The 19,322-nt window shown below is 44.5% G+C and overlaps 3 protein-coding genes and 1 long non-coding RNA gene across 8 annotated transcripts in view; 2 read left to right on the top strand and 2 right to left on the bottom strand.

The window, feature by feature from the left end:
- NDRG2 (NDRG family member 2) overlaps window positions 1-19,322 on the bottom strand; it is a 54,110-nt gene that overhangs the window by 24,009 nt on the left and 10,779 nt on the right. The window lies entirely within an intron of this gene.
- RNASE7 (ribonuclease A family member 7) lies at window positions 1,591-3,462 on the top strand. The gene is made up of 2 exons (NM_032572.4): window positions 1,591-1,671; window positions 2,182-3,462. The coding sequence occupies exon 2, from the start codon at window positions 2,222-2,224 to the stop codon at window positions 2,690-2,692; it is 471 nt and encodes a 156-aa protein (NP_115961.3). The 5' UTR covers window positions 1,591-1,671; window positions 2,182-2,221; the 3' UTR covers window positions 2,693-3,462.
- Window positions 5,626-7,924, bottom strand: LOC105370398 (uncharacterized). 5 transcript variants are annotated; one of them, XR_943587.3, is made up of 4 exons: window positions 7,824-7,924; window positions 7,491-7,573; window positions 6,095-6,159; window positions 5,626-5,737 (listed from the first exon to the last, which is right to left on the bottom strand). It is a non-coding gene; the product is annotated as an uncharacterized LOC105370398 (long non-coding RNA). The 5 variants fall into 5 exon arrangements; XR_001750626.2 differs by adding an exon at window positions 7,284-7,370 and having other exon boundaries at window positions 7,491-7,924; XR_943588.3 differs by adding an exon at window positions 7,284-7,375 and having other exon boundaries at window positions 7,491-7,924.
- Window positions 17,051-17,684, top strand: RNASE8 (ribonuclease A family member 8). The gene has a single exon (NM_138331.2). The coding sequence runs from the start codon at window positions 17,122-17,124 to the stop codon at window positions 17,584-17,586; it is 465 nt and encodes a 154-aa protein (NP_612204.1). The 5' UTR covers window positions 17,051-17,121; the 3' UTR covers window positions 17,587-17,684.

Consider the following 19,322-nt stretch of genomic DNA (forward strand, 5'->3'; position numbering starts at 1 on the left):
AAGTTCACTCTTATCTTCAAGTCTCTGCCCCAGAGTCAGCGATTTCAACGATGTTACGTAAAATTACTGACCACCAACCCCTATACTGTTCTACTTTTTTCCCTAGCCATTATCACTTTGAGCAAAGTATACGTATTTTTTTTTACTGTCTTTCTCCAATGGAATGTAAGCTCTACAAAGGCAGGGACTTTTGTCTTTGTTTTTTGTTGTTGTTTGTTTGTTTGTTTGTTTGTTTTTTGAGACAGGGTCTCACTCTGTGACCCAGGCTGGAGTGCAGTGGTGCAATCATGATTTTCACTGCAGATTTTATCTCTCAAGCTCAAGCAATCCTCCCTCCTCAGCCTCTGGAGTAGCTGGGACCACAGGCATGCACCACCATGCCTGGCTAATTTTTCAAATTTTTTATAGAGACAGGGTTTCGCCACATTGCCCAGGCTGGTCTTGAATTCGTGGCCTTAGGCAATCCTCCTGCCATGGCCTCCCAAAGTGCTAGGATTACAGGTGTGGGCCACCGTACCTGGCCATTTTTGCCTTTTTTGTTCAGTGATATATCCCAAGTATCTTGACACTTAGTAGATGCTCGATAAATGTTTGTTGACCACATGAATGAAGCATGCCCAAGATTCTGAGATTGCCTACTACTTACAGGTAAATTCTGAAAACAAAAATATTCCTCATCTCAGTTTTACAGGCCTTCTCACCCACAGAGGGTGATGCTTCTCTGCCTTGGTGTCTCGGTTCTCCTGAGTGTCATATTCCAAGCTCACAAGAGCTTGGAGTAGCACTGACCCAGATGCTCCACACAGCTGTAACCACCACAAGGAACAGGACATACAAGGTGAAGGAAGCACTAAGGCAGGATGTCGAGAGCAGCAACAGCATTTTAAACACAAACATTTGGGCAGTATTAAATTTTTGCAATTTTCAATAAAAAAGGGAGGGAACAAGTGAAATTGAGAGGTGTTGGCTGCCTTCTCCAGCTAAAGCCATGTGGCCTTGGTTGGTACCTGGAACTGGAGAGGCCTGTGAATCATTGTGGAATGGCTTCGCTATTGGGGATGGTGCCAGGCCTCGTGACAGTGATGATTCATTCACCCACTTCCCTCGTGTCTGTTCCATCTCCTCCGAAAGATAACCAGTATCTCCAGATGACAAGGAACCAGACAAAGCATCTTTCTAGGCTGTCCTATCTGTGCCTCAGGTCAGAGAAGAAGCAACCCTTAACACCACAGTGATTGACTCTTCCCAGGATCAAGGGCCAGAAGTGTATATGAGAGGATATGAATGACAACTCTTCCTGAAATTGATTTCAGTTGACACCTGGGTCAGGTGCTCTATTAAAGAGTCATTAAAATCATGTGGCCAGGGAACAAATACAGTCTTCGAATGTGACGATTCAAGCTTCCTCATTGCTGAACATGTTTAGGCAGGTACAGGCATCCTTAGGTGTCCACGTATTTGGGACATGTAAGTGGAGAGGCATGAACCTGATTCATTTCCTGATCCAGTGATGCTCCCAGCCCACCCCCAAACAGACACAGCGTAGCCCGGGCCAGCTCTTAAGGAGTTCAGGAGTGAGAAGAGGCCCTCAGAGATCTGACAGCCTAGGAGTGCGTGGACACCACCTCAGCCCACTGAGCAGGAGTCACAGCACGAAGACCAAGCGCAAAGGTGAGGCTGTGGCAGGATCTGGGGAGGAGTGAGGACAGAGAAGGAGGGATGGGTTCTGATCCTGAGAGTACACTCAGGTGAGCGATAAAATGGATAAAGGAGGGACTGGATTTAGGGGAGATGAGGACACGCATTGGGGAAAGGGGAGAGTGATGTTGGGGATGGAGGCAAAAAATGAAAAAGAATGGGAACACAGACGAGATGGGAATCGGGAGAGGATGAGACACAGACACAGGAACATGGAGACACAAAAGGGATGAGACTTAAGGGAAAGGGGAGAGGACAAAGAGTGACAGGCAACAGGGACAGAATGAAGGGAACAGAAATACAAGATGAGAGATGGGGCCACAGGGTTGTTGTTGGGGCTGCAGTGGATGTGGACACACAGAAGAAGAGGCAGAGATGAGACACAAAGTGAGGAAAGGAGACAACCGAGTAGGGAGATGGGTGACTAGCTCATATGAGCAGGTATAAGAGGACTAATTTCTCAACTGAACACCTCTGTCCCAGCGACCCCTGCCCTCCATCCTGACTGCTCCTCCTAAGAGAGATGGCACCGGCCAGAGCAGGATTCTGCCCCCTTCTGCTGCTTCTGCTGCTGGGGCTGTGGGTGGCAGAGATCCCAGTCAGTGCCAAGCCCAAGGGCATGACCTCATCACAGTGGTTTAAAATTCAGCACATGCAGCCCAGCCCTCAAGCATGCAACTCAGCCATGAAAAACATTAACAAGCACACAAAACGGTGCAAAGACCTCAACACCTTCCTGCACGAGCCTTTCTCCAGTGTGGCCGCCACCTGCCAGACCCCCAAAATAGCCTGCAAGAATGGCGATAAAAACTGCCACCAGAGCCACGGGGCCGTGTCCCTGACCATGTGTAAGCTCACCTCAGGGAAGCATCCGAACTGCAGGTACAAAGAGAAGCGACAGAACAAGTCTTACGTAGTGGCCTGTAAGCCTCCCCAGAAAAAGGACTCTCAGCAATTCCACCTGGTTCCTGTACACTTGGACAGAGTCCTTTAGGTTTCCAGACTGGCTTGCTCTTTGGCTGACCTTCAATTCCCTCTCCAGGACTCCGCACCACTCCCCTACACCCAGAGCATTCTCTTCCCCTCATCTCTTGGGGCTGTTCCTGGTTCAGCCTCTGCTGGGAGGCTGAAGCTGACACTCTGGTGAGCTGAGCTCTAGAGGGATGGCTTTTCATCTTTTTGTTGCTGTTTTCCCAGATGCTTATCCCCAAGAAACAGCAAGCTCAGGTCTGTGGGTTCCCTGGTCTATGCCATTGCACATGTCTCCCCTGCCCCCTGGCATTAGGGCAGCATGACAAGGAGAGGAAATAAATGGAAAGGGGGCATATGGGATTTGTGGACACAGCTGTTTCTGTTCCTGAACTAGAAGTCTTCCCCAGCTCTGACGTGGCAGTGAGGTGACCTGAAGGAAAGAAAAATATAAATAAATACCACTTCATATTTGTATAGAATCCTCTAATCCCTTGTGACATAGACTTGACAGGGATTGTATGCCTTCTTTATGGATGAGGAAATTAAGGTTTTAGAAAGCTTAATGAATTAAAGAGCTTGTCTAATTAGTTAGTAGCAGAACCTGGACTTGAACCTAGGTCTCCTTGCTCTAAATACAGTGTACCTTCTACTCTACCAGTTGCGCAAGAAAGAAGTCACTGTTACAGAGGCAAGCGGTGAACTAGGTAAGAGTTCACTCATGAAGAAACGAGTGCTCTGAAGAGCCAGTTACCCTGTGTTGGCTGCAATAAAGGTCATTACCTCTCTAGCCAAGAGATTGTTTATGAGGTGCTCTGGCATTTTATTCCTTCTCTCTCTTCCTCTCTAACTGCCCCTCCCGTTTCTCTAGACCACTGCTCTTCCAACCTAGGCCCTGGACCTGGCTCTGGCCAGATCCCCTTGGCCTGAAGACATAAGGTAAAGGGAGTGTCTGAGCTTCATCCCCCAGATCCAGGATCACATTTCCTTTGACCTTAAGGGACTTCCGTGGCCCTGAGCCTGCTTGTCACAAACAGGCTGGTGGGAGCTGCCAGAGCTTCCTTCCTCCTGATAATGATCTCCCCTGCCTCATTGCTACCCTGGCTCTCCACTCTGGCAGTCTGCCCAGGCCTGAGGGGTTGAGATGCGAAAATGCCATTTCCCTGTCCCCCTGGGCTACAGATACCATTTCTCTCGTTCTGGGGACTGGAGCTGGAGAAGGTATGGCTTGGTATTGGCCAGTCCTGATGGTCTCTCCAACATTGCTTGACCAGCACCATCCCCTTCTTTCTTCCTTTATCTCAGTCCCAAACAAGCTGCATTGTGTCCCATGCCTGTTCTATTTCAAACCCAAATTCATTATAAGACATTCCCAACCCTGCTGAGGATTCCACTCTACCTATCCCTCCCCATCAACTCCTGTGCTTTTTTACTACTGACCAGAGTCAGAGTAAGCTTTGGAGCCAGACAGAATCAGGTGTAAATCCTGACTCCCGTCTACATGACCTCGAACAATTGGCTTGTCTGTTTCTCTACAGCAAAATGTGAGGAATCCTACCTGCCAAATAGGATTCCAGGTAAAGATGTGGAAATGCTATCTATGAAACGCTTGTCAGCCCCAAGTACTGACAGGTGTTAGATCATAACTAGTAGTAGCAATATCCATCTTTGGAAAACACGCAGACCAAGGCAAATACCCCCACTAAGGTCTCCCGAGAGACTTCCTTCTGCCAGAGTGATGATCATGAGTGGGTTAGAGGACAAGCCCGCAGGCAGAGTCCTGGGAGGGCAGCCAGGTTGTCTGAGATGATGAGGAGAGAAAGTAAGGAAAGGATGATTAAAGGAAAGGAGAGCAGATCATTAAACAGTTCTAACAGAATGAGGGCCAATAAGTGGATGAGTTGGTCACAACAGCCAAACGACTGAGTGTAAAAACAAATGTTACCTGAAAACAGAACATTGCCATCATCGAATGGACTTCTGGGATTCTTGAATAAATCTGAAGTTTATCCAAAATCTGAATTTGTTTTGAACTCTTGTGGTCAGTATACTACATTTACCATCCTAAAGAGATGATTTTCACTTGTGGTGCACAGAAAAGCAAGATACTTGGGGCAGCCGATTTTTCTCTTCATTTTATTCTTTTTTCACAACTCTATCTTCTTTATTGATGATCTTTCTTATGGATAATATGGTTTTAGAGACATTCTCCTCACAAAATTTAAAGTGGCTAAAATTATGCCTTCAATGCATCCTCCCAAAATAAGAAGAATTTCCAACTAAAACTTTTTCTTGAAACTTGACCTAATATAGCATTAAAAGTTGACCTAAATAGCATTAAATAACTAGAAAGTTCTGAAGTAACCTGTGGTGATACAGGTCAGAATAGTTGTAGCCTTGGGGAAGTATAACTGTGAAGGGGCATGGGGGAGCCTTCTGAGGACCTGGAAATATTCTATTCTTGGTCTGGATATGTTTCCTATGTGAAAGCTCATTGAACTGTATACTTAAGATTTGTTTCAAAAGGCAGCAGGTGGTCATAAAAATAAATAAGAAAAAAAGATTTGTGTATTTTATGTAAGTTATATCTCATTTTCAAAAAAGTCTTTCAAATATGTATACTTCTTAAGGGATTATTTTATTTACATAATAAATCATAATACACCAATCAATTCTAAAAAGAGTAATTAAATCATAGATAGAATTATGATATAATCTAATTTCTATTGTTCTGTTCTGTACTATTTGTTAAATTAAATACTACTTGTGGTGTTTATTAAATTGTTGTAAATACATTGGGCTCAGCCAGGCACAGTGGCTCTCACTTGTAATCCCAGCACTTTGGGAGGCCTAACCAGAGCAGCTTACTTGAGCCCAGGAGTTTGAGACCAGTCTGGGCAACATAGTGAAACCCCATATCTACAAAAAATACAATTAGCTGGGTATGATGACACATGCCTGTAGTCCCTGCTACTCCAGAGGCTGAGGTGGCGGATCTCTTGAGCCCAGAAGGTTGAGGCTGCAGTGAGCCATGATCTGCACTCCAGCCTGGGCACCACTGCACTCCAGCCTGAGTAACAGAATGAGAGCCTGTCTCAAAACAAATACATACATACATACATACATACATACATACATACATACATACATACATACCTTGGTCTCAGAAAGTACAGTTGGCTTTTGAACAACATGGAGGTTAAGGGTGCCTAGTGTACAGTCGAAAATCCAAGTATAACCTTTGACTCCCCCAAAACTTAACTACTAATAGCCTATTGATCACCTGAAGCCTTACCAATAACATAAACGTTCAGTTAACATATATTTTGTATGCTATATGTATTATGTACCATATTCCTACAATAAAGTAAGCTAGAGAAAAAAAAGGTGTCATTAAGAAAATCATAAGGAAGAAAAAAATATTTACTATTCGTTTAGTGGAAGTGGCTCATCATAAAAGTCTTCATCCTCATTGTCTTCACGTTAAGGAGGCTGAGGAGGAGAAGGAAGAGGAGGGGTTGGTCTTGCTGTCTCAGGGATGGCAGAAGCAGATGAAAATTTGAATGTAAGTGGACTTGCACAGTTCAAATCATTGTTGATCAAGGGACATAAGGTTCTCCCTAAAGTTATCTAGCTAACACACTCTCTTCTATTATTTATATTATCGGTCAACTAATTTCCTATTTTTTAACCATGTGGAAATTTTAAATAATTGTTTCATATATAAGCTTTCACAACAATTAATAATAGCATCTTTCTTAAAAATAATAAATAATAATAAATACCCATTTATACTTCCACTGGCTGGTAGAATTTCAATATAATAATTTTTTTTTAAGCTCACAAGGAAAATTTCACTCCAGGTTACATCTAGAGTACTCACCAATATTTGGAAGTAACTATTCAGATATTAACAATAAATCCAAATGGCCTGGCCTATTCTTATTAGTGGTGCCCTACCTGAATAGATTTGTCACTCAATCCTTCGTGTGACCTTGATCACAGCCAAGTTAAAGGATGCCAGGAATAGTGATGAAATAGGAATTTGACTATTCAGCCTTCCAAAAGCCAAAGCTGAGATACAAGAAGATAATAATTTGGGCCAAATACCAAGGCTGGCTGAACTGTGATGCATTCCTACTTGAAAGCTGAAGAATGGGAAAAGGAGAATGCTTAATTATGAGATATTTATGTTTCTAGGGCTGGGAGCTTGGAGAGAGGAGGATGGTGTCCAGGGGAGCTTTGCCCAGTCTTGTGCAGATGGACTTAAATTGTTTCAACATGGAGTAAAGGAGCGGAAATGGAGTTCAGTAAAGAAAGTAAACCAAGAACTGGAGCTAGATGAGCTGGCTCTCCTAGAAGGGAGACTATCTGAGGTAGACTGGGGAGGAGACTTTTCTACATGACTCTGGTTCCCAGAAGTCTCCACACACTGAAGTAAATGAGCCCTAGACACCATGAAGAGGGCCAACAGAATCACTGTGAAGAGAAGGATCCTCAGCTCCAGGGATTTCCTCTGCCTACACCCTGCCCTTAAGATCAGGACCCTTTGGCCCTCTTCATAGTGTCTGGGGCTCTGGGGGATAACCCTTGAGCTATGGCACCAAAAAACATACCAGTAGCAACAACATCCAGGGGGCCTTCTCTTCTCCTTGGGAGAGCTTCAACTCATTTCATCACATTTCTTCCATGCACCTGCACAACTGGGCTTCCAAAAGTGCTTCAAAGACTTCAGAGCTTCATTCTAATGTCCTCCCCCTACCCCCACCCCACCATGAATGGGCAAAAAGAAGAGCAGTTATAGCTCTTATCAGGATGCTTACCTGTGCAAGACTCCAAAACCAGTAAGCTTGGGAACATCCACGGAGCCACAGGGACATGAGAAAGCCCACATTGCTAATGAGATCTTGTAAGAAGTCCACAGTTCATAAGAGGAAAGGTAAATAAAAATGTGTGCTCGTGATGAAAATACACACTGTGATAGAACGCCTCTTAGCTTAGGGAGGTGGGAGTTTCCCCATCTATATAAGCTGATCTCAAACTCCTGAGCTCAGGTGATCTACTCTCCTCAGCCTCCCAAAACTGCTGAGATTACAGGTGTGAGCCAATGCGCCTGGCAATAATGTTACCAACAGATGGTTTTTGGGCTTGAATACCTTCAGGGACATGGATCTTCACTACCACTTCACAAGAGTATAATGTGGATTAAAAGTAACAATACATATAAAGCACTTAGTACAGTGACTAGCATGTAGGGAAAGTTTGAATGGTGTTAGCATTTCTATTTATCATTGTGGTGTCAAATGTTGAGTGGTCAAACCTGTGATGAATGGAGCAGGCCTGACTTCCGTGACAGAAGAACAAAGGATTTAAACAAGGGAGGCCAAACTCCTCCTCATCCGCCTCTTGCCAAAAAGCTCCTAGCCAAGAGTAGATAAGGGAAGGTTCAAGGTCAGACAAAAAGGACAATATGTATTAGTTTCTGTAGATAAGGTTATTTGGGAGGAATGGATGGGTACTTTGAGTTGAAGGAGAAGTAAAAGGGGGCTTTGGAGAATTTCTGTTAAGATTACTTAAGGGAAGTTTTTCTCCTCTGCAACCTCTGTGAATTTATGAATCCAAAGATATGAAAATAAGTTGGAGGACTTAGGACCACTAACTTTTGAGGGTGCCCTCTGTATTCCCTCCCATCCAAAGGATTTGATTATTGCAGCAATTGATGGAGACAGGGCTCTAGTGACATTTCCAACTTCCCCTCCTGAGATATTTAAATTAGTCCTTAGGAAGGCTTACTATCCCCTCACTTCCATCGTGGAAGCCTCTTATATTTTTCCCACCCTCTGATTCAGCTCCATTTTCTGGTTCATTTTTCATCACTCAAAACCTCCACCAACGCCTGTGACTCATGTCCAGTGGATTGGTTATAGCAGAAAAACATTGTGGTCATTACTTTCTATGGTTTTTTCATAGAAACTTAGTTGAACTTACACATTTAAAACATAAACTAACTGTGGTGTGAATTAGTACAAATTCCTGCTTGGGTCGTGGCATTTAGCACAAGATGAAATTTCCTATCTCCATGGCTTTAGGGCTCTCCCAGTAGTAATCATAACATTATAATGCTGCAAGACATCTTGTCCAGTGTTCTCGGAGATCATCTAGTCATGCCTTCCTCATGTTGCAAATGAGCAAAATAACCCTGAGGACTTAAACACTTTGCCCAAGATTACATGAATAATTTAGGCAAGAACTCGGGCTTTTTTGAACAAGCCTTGTGATATTTACAAAGTGGCATTCAATATCAAATGGATCTCAGACATCTTTCTTCTTTTTTTTTTTTTTTTGAGATAGAGTCTTGCTCTGTCACCCAGGCTAGAGTGCAGTGGCACGATCTCGACTCATTGCAACCTTGTTGAGCTTTTTGGCCTCCCAGGTTCAAGCGATTCACCTACCTCAGCCTCCTGAGTAGCTGAGATTACAGGTATGCACCACCATGCCCGGCTAATTTTTGTATTTTTAGTAAAGACTGGGTTTCACCATGTTGGTCAGGCTGCTCTTGAACTCCTGACCTCATGTTCTGCCTGCCTTGGCCTCCCAAAGTGTTGGGATTACAGGTGAGCCACTGTGCCCAGCCCAGATATCTTTCAAGATCAAATCATACATGGACTGGCAAATCAATCTGCAAATGGGCAGACCCCCGGATTTGAGACAAAAGCATGTTCATCCAAAAGAGTATTAAGTGCCCGTAATCCTGACACGTTGCATTTCTGACCTTCACCTGAATGCTCATATTGTATCATTGAGATGGGAAAAAAACAGTACATGAGGAATTGATGGCAAACTAGTCAAGCATGTCCCTGGCCGTGCCATTGGCTGCTGGAAACATAAATAAGGATATGCAACAAGAAAAAGGGCCTGGACCTCCCATCTGCTACTCCGGACCAGGGTGAAAACATTACAGAGATCCTGTTTGGTGGAGCTCCGGGTGGGCCTGAGATATCCCAAGCATTTATCTTTGGTAAGGGTTACCACTTTTTACCCTTGAATTTGGCATATCCAGAACAGGATCTTCATGGTCAACTAGAACCTGCAGAGCAATGCTTCCCAGAATTTCCCCTGAAGTGCTAGTAACCACAGAGGAAGATGAACTAAAACACCTAAAGTAGTGCCCAATGAGCTTGGGCTTTCTCTGAAGCTTCTTTCACTTAACTAATATTTATAAAATAGCCGTGCATATGAGTGTTTTATATGCTATCTTTAAATTTCATTTGTGGTAATAATAATAATGGATCAATGTCAATTTCCCCTTTTTGGTGGCTGTACTGTGGTTATGCACACGAGAGTACTTGTAATTAGGAAATAGTCACTGAAGTATTAAGGGGTAATGAGCATCATGTCTGTAACTTGTTCTGAAATAGCTCAGAAATGTTAATAATTGGGGAACTGGGTGAAGCATATAGGGGAGCTCTGTGTATGCTTTCTGAAACTTTTATATACGTTTTAAATTATTTCAAAGTGAAAATGCTAAAAAAATTTAATGTAACTCATTTGAATTTTTCTATCATACAAAGTTATTTTCTGTAAAAATAATGCCTTAAATTACTCCCCATCCCCTAAAAAGATGGTTTTAGTAAAATTGTAAAGAACACATTTATCTTGTGACTTTGTGTACCCTCTGCACACATCTGTGTTCCACCTGGGGTAGCAGTACACTGGCTCTAATGTTTTCCTTAACTTGCTCTTTGTGGATTTCTGTCTCTGACCAGTGTTTCTTTTCAAGAACTGGTTGAGGAAGATAGGGTAGTCATGGGGCTAGGGCATTGGAAAGGTCCTTTTCATGCTGAAAAATGAGAAAATAGACATAGAGCACTTGGAACAGTGACTGGAACATAGAAAAGCCTCAGTAAATGTTAACTATGATTGTTTTTATCGTTATGACCCCTATCATTCCTAGCAGGGCTGAAGGCTGCACGCAGCCTTGTTGTGGTAAGTCAGAGGTCTCAGGAGGGCAGCCGGCCTATGAGGGGAACTGGCGTATCCAGGGAGCCATATGCCTCAGCTCTGGTTGGGTTGAAGACTACATCCTCTCCCTCATGAAGATGAATCCAGGAGTGAGGAACAAAGGGAGACAGTCCTCCCGCAGAGACAAGCTCATAGTGCAAATGGGCACCATAGGAAGGCCTCAAAGAACTACATAGAAAAGAAAAATGGACCTGGCAGGAGACAGGGTTAGCCACTGGAAACAGAGGAGGGCTTCCCAAAAGGAATGTGGCCACTGGATTCCATGTGATGGAGCTCTGCTTCTCAGAGCCATAAACCAGGGCCCAGACCACAGGTCTGTCACCACCAGGAGGCTGTTTGAAGGTTGAAGCTTGAAAAACCCTATGGGGGTGGCACTTGTAGTTCAAAGACGACCCTCGTGGTACTGCTGTCCTTCAGGCCAGCAAACCAGGCAAACTTCTCTGGCACCCTCGCTCAGCCCTCCTGGGGTATCCTGAAAGAATGGGTCTTTGGGAGATAGTTGCTTATTCTCTGCTCCCCTTCTTTCAAGGCACCTTCAGAGTCTACTATTAGGCCTCTCCTTCATACTAGTAAGGTGCTGGCTACTTACTAGCACTTTGATGTTTTTTCTTGTGTCACACAAGTGTCAGAACCAGGGGGCATTTTAGACATTATTCAACTGAAACTCCTTGTGTTATAAATAGTAAGAAGACTGAGAGGATCAGAGTGATGACTGAGTTCAATGCACGGTTACTGAGTGCTCCTGTGAGCTAGCCATGTGCCTGGCACTATGAAGACAGAGAAGCACGGAAGGACCTGATTCCTGTCCCACGAGTTTACCGTCTAGTTGGGAAGACTGGATGCTCTTACTGGATGAAAGAGTTAAATAGCAAAACAAGGTAGTACACGATTTAGAACCCAAATGAGTGATACTATGAAACAGTTAATGCTAAAGGAGGTTAGGATTTGTACGGCAAGGTTCGTAAATGTGATCCTGAGCAAACTCATATGGTCAAGATGAGTTCTAAAGGATGGATAATATTTGAGGGAGGACTTGCAGGGAAGAGGGAAACAGAAGCAAAGCTGAAGAGAGCAAAACATGTGCTGGAGACAAAAGGAAAATCAGGTTATTAGGATAGAATTTGGTTAGAATAGTTTGTGTTCGGAGGGAAGATAGGGAGGCCACTCATACGGAATGGGTAGACTGGACGCAAGGTGAGTAGGAGAAGGCTTTGATTCCAGGCTGGGAAGGCTGGATGTTACCTTGCAAGCAAGAGAACCACTGGAGATAAACAGATGATCTTTAGAGAAATGATGCAGGAAAAGGAATATTTTAACAAGATCCATCCAACATTATTATACATGCTCAATTAAACTCAGGAGAAAGGGTAGGCAAGGAGGCAGTTAGAAGGTGGTGAGAGTCATCCAGACAGGCAGTGGAAAGGGAGAGAAATACGTACAAGAGAACCAATAAGACTAAGTGACTCAAGTGCCCCTCCATACTTTGATCATGCTAAGTATTCAGTCTGTTAGCCTACTAATCGATATGGGGATGAAAGATTAGAAACAGTCAAAGGAGACCAGTATTTTCAACTGGAAGCGCCAAAAACAGAAACAGGGGCCTTACAAGGGGATAATCAGGTTTTGAGAAAAGTTGAATTCTCAGACAACAGAACTGGGTGCCTGATATAACTGGTAGGTAGTGAAGATTCATGTCACTGAAGGTATTCAAGCCCAAAAACCATCTGTTGGTAACGTTATTGCCAGGTGCATTGGCTCACACCTGTAATATCAGTACTTTGGGAGGCTGAGGCGAGTGGATCACTTGAGTCCAGGAGTTTGAGACCAGTGCTGGCAACGTGGCAAAACCCATCTCTACAAAAAATAGAAAAATTAGCCGCACTTTGGCCGGGCGCAGTGGCTGACACCTGTCATCCCAGCACTTGGGGAGGCCGAGGCAGGTGGCTCATGAGGTCAGGAGTTCGAGACCAGCCTGGCCAAGATGGTGAAACCCCAGCTCTACTAAAAAATACAAAAATTAGCCAGGCGCGGCAGTGGGTGTCTGTAATCCCAGCTACTCAAGAGGCTGAGGCAGGAGAATCGCTTGAACCCAGGAGGCAGAGTTTGCAGTGAGCCGAGATCTCGCCACTGCAGTCTAGCCTGGGCGGCAGAGCAAGACTCCGTCTCAGAAAAAAAAAGAAAAGAAAAAGAAAAATTAGCCACACGTGGTGGTGCAGGCCTGTAGTCCCAGCTACTCAGGAGGCTGACGTAGGAGGACCACCTGATCCCAGGATGTAGAAACTACAGGGAGCCATGATCGTGCCACTGCACTCCAGCCTGGGTGACAGAGCAAGACCCTGCCTTAAAAAAGAAAAAAAAAATACACTTCTGATCAGAGCAAGAGCTAAGATTCAATGAACTCGGAAGTGCCTTCCTGCTTTGATATTCTATGAAACTGGGTCCATGTAAGCTAGTGAAGAGCCTTGCCCAAGGTCATGCAGCTAATTAGTGAAAGAGGTGGGACCAGAATTCAGGGCTATTCATGTCTGGTTCAGTATTCTTACCACTAGACTATTTTAACTTTGATTGTAGTCTGAGTTGTACTCTCAGGGGTGACCAGAAACCCCATATAAAAACAAGATCAGTAAAAATTGGCTCTGAAATGAAACAAAGCTGCAGCACGGCCTGACACAGTGTACAGAGTGTAAATTTGAGGATCAGATCGAAGTGGCTCTGTCACTCACTCCTGTATGGCTGTGGGCAAGTTACTCAACTCCCACACACACAGACATTGTTTCCTTACCTACAAAATAAGCATAAATATTTCTATCTCATGGGGATGCTGCAAGATAAGTAAGGAGATGTTTTTAGATAGATTGATCACAAAAGAGATAATACACACACACACACACACACACACACACTGCTGAGTTCAGTGTCAAGAACATAGTAGACATTAGAGATGGCATTCAGTCTTCTTCTCTTGTGATCTGGTGGGAACAGGCATTGACCAATCAGAGCCAAGACTGGCTCATCTCCATACCAGTGCACACAAGGTGACTCTTAGCCCACAAGAGGAGGAAATGTTTAGGCCAGCCCTGGGCTCCTGCTGCCATCCCCACTCTGTCACTTCAAAGGCTGGCAGCTTGGGTCTGTAACTGTTAATGAATTATCAATAAACAGGAAAGCAGTGTGGCAAGGAAAGATAACATGAACTTTGGAGCCAAACAGAACCGAATTTCAAATCCCGGCCCTGCCACTTACTAAATCTGTGGATCTTAACCTGCCAGAACCTTAGTTTCCTTTTCTGTAAAATTGGGATAATATTGTGGAACACACAATACAGTTTATATATAAAGTTGTACACAAAGCACAATGCTTTGGCTCGTGAAGCACCTTTTAAAATGAGGTTCTTTACTTTCCACCAAGAACCTAGAACTGTACCGAGCACATTTTAGATGCTAATTAAATGATGCTTGGTAGCATCTCTTTCCTCCTGCTGCTGCTGTACAGCCCTGTGCTGACCTGAACCATAAGCAATGCGGTGTATGTTATCCTGGCTGCCTTTAGTAGGTAGTAAATAGTATACTCTATCCTACCATACTCCTAAGCATTTTACCACTCGCCACACTACTTTGAATATGTAAGATATATATTCCTCATTCAATATTGTTTCTGCAGAAATGTATCTGAAAAGATTTTTAAAGTTTTACTTTTGAAATTATTTGACTGCAAGTAAGTTGTGACTGGCACTGTTCCTTCTGCATTCAAGGTTTCCAGGTACTTAGGAATTCCTACAAAATTAGAAAACTAACCAAAGATTGTTTTCCAATGTAGTGAGATTTTTATGTGTCCCAAATTTCAAAATAAGTGAAATCAACTTCATGCTACTTTAGTAGCAGGTAAGTAAATATTTTTTATTTGATTCTATATTTGACTTTTCCTGTATTGGAGCCAATATATTTTTCCCAGTCTCAAATGTTGTAGGCCCTTAGAAACCTCCCAGATTCTAAGCACTGAGCCTCAAGTGCTTAATGGATAAAACAGCCCTGAGGCTGTGGCAGTGGGGAAAACTCATGATGAATGACTAGGATCAAAACACACAATCAAAGGAACCCCATTCCCAGGCCTCCCTGAGTGAGGCTGGCCAGCTGCATGGGCCAGTACCTACTTCAGGGAAAGCATGTTTGCAACGTATTTGGAATCAGAGCTTGCAAAGTCTCTGGTCAGTCATCTTGGTTGGCAGTAAACGTTTAGGCCAGCCCTGGGCTCCTGCTACCATCCCCACCCTCTCATTTCAAAGCTTGGCAGCTTGGGTCTGTAACCGTTAATGAATAATCACTTGGTAACCCTTCCATCCCAATGGGAGAGGCTCAGCTGAGGGCCTGCAAGAGAGAAATGACTTCCTGGGACAGGGTGGTGGGAGGGAGTAGTGCAGAGGGAGGGAAAGATTTGTTCCCTGCTGCCCAAGTCAACTGCTTTCTGGGTAATGTTTTCCTGGGTTCAAAAATCAATGTTTTGTTTGCTTTGTGGGGAGGAGTGCACGAAGGGATCCCTGCTGTGGAAAAGGTGAGTTCTACTGGCAAACAAGGCTCCTCCACCATGTTTGCCTGAGATGACAAACATCTCAGAATTTTTACATTCAGAAATGCAGATACTAGGAGCCTCGGCAAATTTTGCCATTTTGGAGAGCACTTTATCCCAAAGGTGGAGAAGTTACACAAATCCCAGAGGTTGAGAGACTGAGGGGAGTCCAACACACTATCGCCGACCTGAGAAACTGCAGTGCAGAGCCAGTTCCCCAACTGCAGTCATTTGCTTTAACCCTTGACAATTTTCACAATATCTGCTTACCACCCCTATTATTTTAATAATACGCTAAATATATATTTACTCATTTATTTTAAATAATTCTTTTACAATGAAACTGAGTAATGCCATCTTTCAAAGAATACTAGTGTTACTTTGTAAACAGAAGTAAAAATAAATGTAATGAATATCATCTAACTTTTAAAAATTCTATCCAGATATTGTTTTCAGCTGAAAACTCAGCCTGAGGCCTGTTGTCGTTATTGAAAAGGAGGAGAAACAAACACGGGAAAGTGTAAAAGAATTCACCTTCTTGCTCTAAGAGGAGACTTTCTCTTAAATGTTTTTAGAAGGGTCTGAAGAAATTAAGGCAATGAGCACACACCACCTAAAACCACAAACAGAGACACACTCACTCTGCTCTGCTCCTATGGGAAACTCTTTCCTCTTTCCTTTTTAGCTTGGCGCCAGCCCAAAGGGATGGGTTGAACATCAGGAAGCTCTTAGCCCCAGCTCTGCCACTCACTCGGCGGCCTTGGAAAGAGTACTTGCCCTTGCAGGAACTCAAGCTCCCTCATCTTTAAAATGAGGGAGTCAACTGAGATGAACTCTAAGGTCCCTTCCAGCCCTGACCCTCTATCCTTCCAAGACATTCTCCAGCAGGGCAAAATGTCAGGCATGGAAAGAACCCAACTCGCCATGCTGCTTTGACAGCTGGAGCTGCGATCCCTTCACTAGGAGTGATCATTTTTTCTAACTTCAGTGAGAAACTGGGCCACAGAATGGGGAGGAATGCATTTGACTCCACGACCTTAATAACAACTCTTTCAGGGACACCTAAGCTAGTCCAGCAGAGTGGGGTATTGACCTTTCACATGTTTTTCTTCAAGATTTAGTTTCTCTTAACCGGGCGCGGTGGCTCACGCCTGTAATCCCAGCACTTTGGGAGGCTGAGGTGGGTGGATCACCTGAGGTCAGGAGTTCAAGACCAGCCTGACCAACATGGAGAAACCCAGTCTCTACTAAAAATAGAAAAAATTAGCTAGGCGTGGTGGTGCATGCCTGTAATCCCAGCTACTTGGGAGGCTGAGGCAGGAGAATTGCTTGAACCTGGGAGGCAGAGGTTGCAGTGAGCCAAGATCGCGCCATTGCACTCCAGCATGGGCGACAAGAGCGAAACTCCATCTCAAAAAAAAAAAAAGATTTAGTTTCTCTTTGTGATTTCTCACAGTCTCAGAAAAGATACCTGGGAGTGTGGGAAGAATAGGAGTTAGGGAACTTGAGAGGTCCTGGTTAAAATCTTGTATTTGACACGCTCTAGCTGTGGGATAATAGGAATTTTCTTAACTTTCCTGAGCCTCATTTTATTCATATATATATATATATATGTGAGAAGGTAATCATACCCATAAAACTATTGTGAGAGGTAAAGAAGGTAAGTGTTTATTAGAGGCACAAAAAGGCACATTATCTGCTGGTACTAAACAATAGAATGCCAGGGGTGTTCAATATCTTAGGCTGCACATTGCCCTGCAATAACTGGCTTAGGGTATGAAATTCTTAGAAGGACTAACAAGACTCCCCCATGATGACCTATTCATCCACCTACCTCCTCACTCTGTTCCACTGTCTCCCTTAAGAGAGATGGCACCGGCCAGAGCAGGATGCTGCCCCCTGCTGCTGCTGCTTCTGGGGCTGTGGGTGGCAGAGGTCCTAGTCAGAGCCAAGCCCAAGGACATGACATCATCTCAGTGGTTTAAAACTCAGCATGTGCAGCCCAGCCCTCAAGCATGCAACTCAGCCATGAGCATCATCAATAAGTACACAGAACGGTGCAAAGACCTCAACACCTTCCTGCACGAGCCCTTCTCCAGTGTGGCCATCACCTGCCAGACCCCCAACATAGCCTGCAAGAATAGCTGTAAAAACTGCCACCAGAGCCACGGGCCCATGTCCCTGACCATGGGTGAGCTCACCTCAGGGAAGTACCCAAACTGCAGGTACAAAGAGAAGCACCTGAACACACCTTACATAGTGGCCTGTGACCCTCCACAACAGGGTGACCCAGGGTACCCACTTGTTCCTGTGCACTTGGATAAAGTTGTCTAAGCCCTGGTGCCCACGTTCCACCTCACACTCTGCAGACTGTATGCTGCTGCTTTTCCTCCCTCCAGTTCGTTATTAATCCTTGCTCCCCACTGCAAATGCCATTTCCCTCCCACACACTCAACCTCACATACTCTTGGTTTCTTAGGGAGTTTTACAGACGCTCCAAACGATGAAAGAAGAGGGCAGATTCTCTTCAGCCTTTCATTGTAGCTTACTTTGCAGCCCTTCCAGAGTCAAGCACTCAGGATCCCCACAAGGATGGATCTGGGTTTGGTGAGGCCTGTGGCTCACCAAAGACCCTCTTAAAGAAAAAGAATATAAAATTACAAACGTAAATAAGTCAGATCCTTGGAAGGGCTGTGGCTGGACAGTCCAGGGAGATCCCAGACAGGGGTAATTATCTAAGGAAGGAAGGAAGGGGAATCTCTGCTGTGTTCCCTGTGTTGGGCAAAGAAATGCATCTGATCTTGCTGTAATAAAGACTCTGCTGTTGCTGATGGAGTGTGTGTTACTGTCTTGGGGTAAGTGGAGAGGTTTGGAGCTCCAATTCCAAGGCCCTGAAAAGGCCCTGAAACACTTACTTCTGTGAGGCATCAGCTCCACCTGCCTTGCAGGCCGGAGGGAGAGCAGCACCCTGAGCAGGCACAGTCTGGGAAGCTGGCTTGATTCTGTCCTCCAGCCCCTTGAGGGCTCTCTGGTGGCCCCCTCTCATGTGAAGGGGTAGAGTGACAGGAAGGACAGGCTGAGCCCTGGGATGCCAGTCAGGTCTGAGGCCTGACCCCCTTGTGTGTGCGCAAGACCAGAGTTCATGTTTCATCGACGTGACCCAGAGCAGGACCCTCAGCGTTCTGGAGTGAACTTCCCTCCTTGGGGAATTTCAGAATCAGGACCTACTAGGAGTCCTGATCTGGTCTTAATCATTGCTGAAGACTAACTGTGGTAAAGGAGCAGTTTTATATGCAATCGGCCATAGACCAATACTTTTGTAAAATACAATACAATGAATTACTAGAAAATGAAATAGAACATATAACTATAGAAAATACAAGCTCAATTGTTTTATTACTAGATTCAATTTATATAAAATACTCTGTCAAATTGCCATAAAAGTTACTGGGTTTTTTTGGGTTTTTTTTTTCTTTTGCTTTTTGTTTTGAGACAGGGTCTCACTCTGTCACCCATGCTGCAGTGCAGTGGCCCAATCTCTGCTCACTGCAGTCTCGACATCCTGGGCTCACGTGATCCTCCCGTCTCAGCCTCCTGAGTATCTGGGACTACACGTGCAAGCATGGCACCGCACCTGGCTAATTTTTGCATTTTTTTGTAGAGACAGGGTTTCACCATGTTACCCGGGCTGGTCTCAAACTCCTGGGCTCAAGCGATCCCTCAACTCCTGGGCTCAAGTGATCCACCCACCTGGACCTCCCAAAGTGCTGGGATTATAGGCGTCAGCCATGGCGCTCAGCCCATAAAAGTTTCTTAATGTTTCCTCTCAATTTCTGTACTTGTATTGATAGATATTCACAGAGAGAAAAACATACACATATTATACACATATACACACACACATACCTACATACCAACATAAGGCACACACATACACACCCCCATATGCATATACATACAGAGGAACACATAGTCACAACGTGCACCTGTGTGCACAACACCCACACCTACTCATATACTCACACTCAACAAGACACCCCCTCTTCTTCCCCATGCTATCTCTGCCTCCT

This window comes from Homo sapiens, chromosome 14 (genome assembly GCF_000001405.40).
Source record: "Homo sapiens chromosome 14, GRCh38.p14 Primary Assembly".
In the NCBI taxonomy this organism is placed as follows: Eukaryota; Metazoa; Chordata; class Mammalia; order Primates; family Hominidae; genus Homo; species Homo sapiens.

Excerpts from the sequence above, each read along its gene's own strand:
- RNASE7 (NM_032572.4), top strand. The coding sequence starts at position 2,222 with ATGGCACCGGCCAGAGCAGGATTCTGCCCCCTTCTGCTGCTTCTGCTG.
- RNASE8 (NM_138331.2), top strand. The coding sequence starts at position 17,122 with ATGGCACCGGCCAGAGCAGGATGCTGCCCCCTGCTGCTGCTGCTTCTG.